Genomic DNA, 7812 nt, shown 5'->3' with positions numbered 1-7812 from the left:
ACCAGGAGTGATTTTGCTCTCCAGGAGACATTTGACAATGTTTGAGGACAGTTTTGACTGCCGCAGCTGGAAAGGGAGCAGGAGGAGTGTTACTGGCATTTAGTGGCTAGAGGCCAGAAATGATGCTAAGCATCCTACAATACACAGGGCAGCCCTCTGCAGCAAAGAATTATCCAGCTCAAAATGTCAATAGTGCTGTGGTCGAGAAAGCCCAGTTCAAAAGATGTGCACCTTCAAATCTGTGGTCCTACTGTTTTACCAGAAGGCCATAGCTTATAAGAGTTCCTTTTGCTCCATATCCTGTCAATATGTTATATTGACAGACTTTAATTTTTTTATAATATTCTTCATTTTCTGAAGTCTTTGAGAGTTTGACTCAATTTTGTGTTGTTTTCTTGATGACCCTGACTCTTTGTGATTTTTTTCATTGGTTTTGTAGTTTTTTTATATCTGAACTTATGCATGGTATTTTCTTACAATACAATTTCCCATCTTTCCCAGGCCCCCAGCTTTATATTTTGCCTCATGTTTAGAACTATTAGAAACTAAAGCTCTCAACTGGCCTGGGCAACATAGCAAGACTCCATCTCTATATAAAATTTTAAAAATCAGACTGGAGTGGTGGTGTGAGCCTGTAGTCCTAGCTACTCAGGAGGCTGAGGTAGAAAGATAGCTTGAGTCCAGTAGTTTGAGGCTGCAGGGAGCTATGATCACAGCCTGGGCTACACAGTAAGTGGGACCCTGTGTCAAAGAAGGAAAGAAAAAGGAAGGGAGGAAAGAAGGAAAGAAGGAAAGAAGGAAGGAAGGAAGGAAGGAAGGAAGGAAGGAAGGAAGGAAGGGAGAAAAGAAAAGAAAGAAAGGGAGAAAAAGGGAGAAAGGCAGAGAGAAACTAAAGCTCCAGGCCAATAGGGACAGCAGCAGCTGCAATTAAGGGAACCAGCCACTGAACCAGCTGCAACACTTGTGATTTGCTCCAGATTTATGCTTTCTTTCTTTATTTTATTTATTTCTCTCTACTCCATGTAATTTATTTCCTTTTCTTGGCTGTGAATTTATAAATATTTAAAACTATATTTTATTGCATATTTTTGGTGTCTTATACTAAGCAGATTTCACCGGCTATCTAGACTGTAATAGTAGCTGAAATAAAAGTTTGGGATCATGTCTTAAGCTTAGGTCTGCATTTTGTAAAACTCAAAGTGGTATACATAAATTGCATTTTACATTAATGCTATTTTTTCTCCTAAAATCCTATGGTACTTACTAAATGTAAATGTTTTAGACCTTAATTACATGTTTGTAAGGCATAATTGAATATGCATAAATATATTATTTGCTGAATGTCCAGAAGATCTCCATTACCATCCAAACTGCCACTAAACCTTAACAAATGTACTGTTATACTCAAAAGGTATGTGAATTTTATACCAGATCTTCTCTCTATCGTCTTTCTGCAAATTCCTTCATTTGTACTTTCATCATCTCTCTCTTTGGTCGCTGAAAGAGGCTGCTTTTTTCTCTCCCCCAAAAAGGGGCCATTTTTTTTTCACTCTTTTGCATGACTTATCTATCAGTTACCTGCAAGATTGACCTTTGTTGTTGAGTCTATCTAGACTGAGAACAGATCAGAACACATTCTTTCATTCAGGTGACCCCATCTCGAAGAGGAAGCAGAGAGGCTGAGCCATGCATCCTCCTTCTCAAAACTTACGCAACTACAAATGAGAGAAGAAACTGAGAAGGCAGAGGAAAGAAAGAGCATTGTGTTACTGAAACACAAAGCAGGGAAAAGACTTCCCACTACCTATGTTTGGCTGTTGTTGTTATTTTCCCTAGTAAAATGTTTATTTCCAAGACTGCATTGTTTGAAGGAAAAACCATATTTATTCATCTCTGTAACTTGTATATCAACCCTTTATGTAGTATTCTGGCTAATATCATAGCCTTTAGAGCTAAAATAACAGATTTTAAATCCCAATTTTTTCATATGTAACATAAAGATAATATCATACAATATTTTTATAAAGTTTACATAAATTAATATAAATAATGCCCTTTTTGAATGGCATATAATAAGCCTCAGGTAATGCTAGTGAGTATGACATATATTTAATTGTTTTCTACAATTGATATATAAAAGGCTTCCTTTCCCCATCTTCCTTTGTTCCTTTCAAGAGTTTGGATTAAACAATTTCAGATATTTTGTTTTGAAGGTTGGCTTGAATCAAATGATTAGAAAGACAGAGTAGAAGTTCGGAAAAACTTGAGGAAAATGGAGAAATAGTCCAATATGAACATGAGAAGGAACAGAAAATCTTCCTTACTTTTCTGACTTTGGGAAATGAAGTGCACTAGTTAAGTAAATTTTCATCATAACTGAGGCTTAACTGATGGTCTCAAAGGCTGTTGAGGAGATTTGCAAGCCTCCAGGACACTCTCCTTTGCCACCTTCCAAAAACACTGATCTCTGAAATTCTCAGTGCAGTTGACCCAGAGCTACAAAGCAATCACTGATAGTTAACTGGAATTCAAATCTCTTAATGGTTTTCTTCCCTTTGCAATGTATTCTATTATTTTTAAAATACCACTCATATCAAAATGGGACCTTAAAAAAGACAATCATGTATTTGGGCTGTGTGTTCATTTTTAAAAATTAGAGAAAGCAAAAGGGAAGATTTATGATAGCCTGAAAGTTATGTTGTATTTTGGTGTTGCTTTGTATTCCAGTTCCATGTGTGAAGGCTGGGTGTCTTGCAGGTAAGGTATTGTAGAGAAGCAGCCAGCTGCCCCACCAGCTTCCTAAGCTCCCAGCCAACAGCACTACACATGTCTCCACAGAATGTGATGGAACAAGTGGAATCTTAGCACTAGGGAAATAAAAAAGGAAAGAAACAGGTATGCAAGGAAAGAGATAAAAGCCTGAAGAATGGATTAGATGAGATTCCTGACTATTTATCTCTCTTTATTGAGTCTATGGTGAATGTCAGACTGTTTCTTTAATTTTCCCCATGCTCCATTTGGCAAGTACAAAGAATATTCTCTGTGAACAAGGGTAGAAGCAGTTTCTGTTTACAGGTACCAAGGAAATAAAGGCAAATAGACCACACAATCATGCAGTAAAACATAGGGTTCCTTCACCAAATATGATGTGTGAGTGTATGTGTATACCTGATTGGGAAAATGTATAAGCAAAATGTTGGTGAACCTTGTAAGTGATTAAATTTCATGTTAAAATAGTTTTATTTGCATCTTAACATGCATGCCTATTAAAACAATTTGCCTCAAATCTTGACTATTTAAGGGTCAAGGATCAATCAGTTTGCCGATAAATATTGTTTAGGTTGAGCAGACCTCTGAAATGAATTCACCTTCCCGTGATGACTTAATAATTTGGAAGTAACTAATGAATATTTCACCAAAGTGGAGGTGGGAGGAAAGAGGTATAGAGAAGAGCATATCTGCACCCCTCTAAAGCTGATTCAAGGACCTGGAGCCTGAGACTCCAGTAGTTCCCGTGTTCAAAGAGACTGGATTCAGCAGGTGCCACAAGACTGAGCCTCCCTGCAGAAGTGAATGGCTCCCAAGTTTCTTCTCTGTGTAAACAAGGTCAGTGAAGTTAACCAACAAGCTGGTTAGATATTGATAAAGTAAAATTTGATGTAAATTTAATTTTAGAGCATTATAAACGAGGCTGCATTTTCTTAAGCAAATGTTTGAATTAATACCGAATGAATTGTAACTACATTTTAAGATCCATATTGCATAGTATATATAACTCCTTATATTTAAATATTAATATACTGTAGATGACTTCCAAGCCTTATGCTAAAGCCTAATAAAAAGCCCAAAAGTTTTCTCTTAAATCAAAAAGTTGCTGCAAATTATTTCAGGTTTGATGCCTTTTTCAAGTACATTTCAAAAAAAGAGCCTGTATTAGTCTACCTTTCTATAGCAGTGGGTTTTAAATGATGCAAAAGTATGGGAAAAATCCAAATGGAAATTCAGCAATCTTATGTGAAAATTAAATCTTTTTGTATAAAATATGAATTAGAAAAGCAACATTTCACAGCATTAGTTTTGAGTTTTAATTCAATTGGAGGAATCAGAAAGGGCTTATTGTCTTCAAGGGGAGATGACCTGAAGGGGTTGGGCAAAAGGGCAATGTGACTTAGAAAGAAAAAGTGATTACATTAATTTTAATGGCACAATAGCAGTTTTCAATAAGCTTTATGACAGCAGAAAAGATTGATTTTTTTTGTGCTAAAACGTGCAGTGTCCTAAACTGCATTTTGCCAGAAGTCTAATACCTATAATTTATTGTATCCCATATTCTCAATGTTAAAACAGGAAAGAAGGCAAAAATCTGAGGGCTTAAAATATAATGGACTATAGATTCATTGCTAAAACTCAGTTGGAGCTGAAAATTTCCTTTTAATTTTGAAATGCACTTAACAAGAATTAAAAGGCACAGGAATAGCTATAAAATGGTGTCAGGACAGTGTGTTTCCCACATTCCTTCTGTAAGAAATGATTTGAGTTTCCTGAATCAAAAAGTGGGAGTAAAGAGCCTTGAGCTTAAATAGAAGACATGCTGTTCTGAAAGAGAACTCCAGTCTATTTGAAACATTTTGCTAGGCTATGAGAGGGCAGGAACCACATTATTCTCAGGTAAACTTACTTTCCAGCCTAGCCATCAACATCCCCCTCTTGTTTCCTGGTCCTTGTTTATAGCCTGCAGTCAGAATTACACTCTCCAGGTTTTCTCTGCTATTCACCAATGCCTTGGACACTACAAAATGTTTCTTTTCGGAATTTTTTTTCTGCCTATCAGATATATGGTCTTGGTAACCATAGTAATGATTTTGATTGAAACTTTAAGGAAATATGGAAAAACCTAAAAATCTTATCCAGAGATGACCTAGATCTTTTGGGTTTCTTCAAGCTTAGTATAAGCCAAGCTTGTCCAACCCACGGCCCACGGGCTGCATGTGGCACAACACAAATTTGTAAACTTTCTTAAAACATTATGAGATATTTTTGCAATTTTTTTAGCTCATCAGTTATCGTTTATGTTAATGTATTTTATGTGTGGCCCAAGACAATGCTTTGTATTCCAATGTAGCGCAGGGAAGCCAAAAGATTGGACACCCCTGGTAAGCCATCACTATAAAGTAGCTGCTAAAAGTTATATAAATAAGACTGTCAATAGACATTATTGTTCAGATGAGAAGTAATATTTTATGCAGTGTAAAAGGGACAATGATAATTAGAGTACCTTCAAAGGAGCAAAGAGGATAAAAAGTTAGAAGTCATGCCATGTAAAGATTCTCTTAGAATCCCCAAAGTGCCTTCTGTTGAGAAAAGATTTGGGAGAAGGTGGTGGAAGGGATTAAAAAGCAGCTTCATATACCTGAACAGTTTTCATTCAGAGAAAGTGTTAGCGTTCTGGTTAGCTTCTGATGGCAGGTCCAAGACAAAGAGGTGGAAGTTAGGAGGAGGCAGATTGTTACTCATTATTGAGGACTATATGACAGTCAGGGTTGTTTTGTGATAGAAGGCATAGTTTCAAAACCATGTGATCGCCCATCACTGGAAGGCTTCAAGAAGAAACTAGATGTTCTAGGGGAGTAAAATGATTCTAGTAATGACATAATGACAACACAAATGGTTTTTTACTTATCCTTAGCACCTAGTCATTGTGGTTTATCTTTTAGACTTACCAAAAGAAGAAATTGTTATAAAAAAAAGAAATTGTCACAGTTTTATTTTATAAACATGTAATTATACGTCTCACACATGTATCACAGAATATCCCCAAATACATAATTTTTTAATTTAACAGATATTTATCCAACAGCCATTATGTCCAGGTATTTGGCTAGATGGTAGGGATAAAATAGGGAACAAGAACAAAAAAGGTCCTGGGCCTGTGGGGATTCTCTTCTGGTGGCGGTAGTCTCCTGTTTCATAAGCAATAAGCAAGGGAGGGTTACCTGTTATTATTGAGGCACTAGATAAGCATACTAGCTCAGGGATTTGTGTATGTAGAAGCAGGTGACCTATAAAGTACTTTTTCTGAAGATGTAAAATCCAAGTGAGTCATGCAGGCTAAATGGTAGGCTAGCTGGATGAAAGGAATTGAAGGGTTAGAGAAAGGGACTCAACAAGAATATTTCAGGCAGAGGGAACAGTATTTGTGAAACCACAAAGATGAAAAAGGAGTGAGAGACATATAAACACCACATGTGTTTTAGGAACTAACAGAAATTCAGTAGCTATATGACAAAGCTTCCTGACACCTACAACTTTCTTTTAAACATTGCATCACGTTGCTGAGCACATGAGCTGTTAAATAAAATATTTGTTGTATAAAAATGGACTCATAGGTATCTTGAGTGGGGAGATGGTGTTAATGGTAGTTAGAGTCTTACAAAGGTTAAACAAGGAAGATCACATAGGGCCTATGATATAGTTTGGATCTGCGTCTCCACTCAAATCTCGTGTTGAATTATAATCCCCAGTGTTGGAGGTGGGGTCTGGTGGGAGGTGATTGGATCACGGAAGTAGATTACAAGCGAGAGCCACTGCGCACGGCGGCTTCAGGATTATTTTTAAAAACTGAGGTTCAGTTAAGAGAAAAAAGAAAAGAGAGGCCTAATTACACATATTTAATACTATGGAGATGAATAGGCATTTAAAGAACATGGGTTATCATTTCATGCACAAAAAGACACCATTTGCTGAATTATACCCTAGTGCCCTGCCCCGGAAGAGTTAATTTACCCAACATAGGTAAACAGTTTCCTCACAGAAATAGTTTTCTCTTTTTAAACCCAGGATATCATTTGAATAAAAGAAAGGGTGAAAAAAATGGACAGAAGCTTTCTTTTTTGTATTTATTACTTTTAATATTAATCTCAGTAATTGCTGTGATAGATTTATTCCTGATAAAATGGTGGATTCTTTGTTTTCAGAGTTAACTTCTTATTTTCTTTTTACATATATATTAGTCTTTCACAGGGTAGCCAATTAATCTTCAGCATCAAATTAGCAACCCATCAAACATTTGTGTCATTAAAAACAGTCACTGGTAAATCTAGAATAAAGTGGTGCTTAACTAAATTCATTCCTAAATCGGAATCATTGTTCATGTCAACTCAAGTTAATTCAGCATCGATATAGTTGACTGATAGAATTATCATTTATACCTCACTTCTAATAAAGAATTTGATTTGTTCACAATAAATAATGTATCCGCTACTAGGACATTCCCTTTAATCTTGCATTAAAACTGTAGCTAAGGAAAGCATCTTAATGTAGTAGGATGCAGCTAGCAGAGGCAACATAGAGAAATGATATTGCAACATCGCGACAGATAACAAAACAAACTCTTCAATGCAAGCATAAGAAAATTTAAATGTCAATACTCATGAACAGTATTGACATTGTATAGTAGAATATGGATGAATTATAAAAGTGGCACAGAAATTAATATAAGCCTATCACTTAGCTGTTCAGTGTAAAATAATATAACAATTAAAATAATTGTTATTTGTTATACACATATAATATTTAGATCAATTATCTTCCAAGGTTTAAGTGATCATTGTCATAAATAGATATTACAAATCCAGCATGCTGATTTTCATTTATACAGACTCAGAATACTAAGATCCAGTTCAAGAGCCATCTCTATCCTAGGAAAACAATTTTCTTTGTGGCCCAAGTCCCATTTTTCCATCCATCAATTTCAACTATCATTCTGGAAATCTTAGTTCTCTTTAAATTTTGTTCAATTTACATTTAGAACCA

The sequence above is a fragment of the Homo sapiens genome, chromosome 1, assembly GCF_000001405.40.
Source record: "Homo sapiens chromosome 1, GRCh38.p14 Primary Assembly".
Taxonomy (NCBI): domain Eukaryota; kingdom Metazoa; phylum Chordata; class Mammalia; order Primates; family Hominidae; genus Homo; species Homo sapiens.
This window is presented reverse-complemented; position numbering follows the sequence as displayed.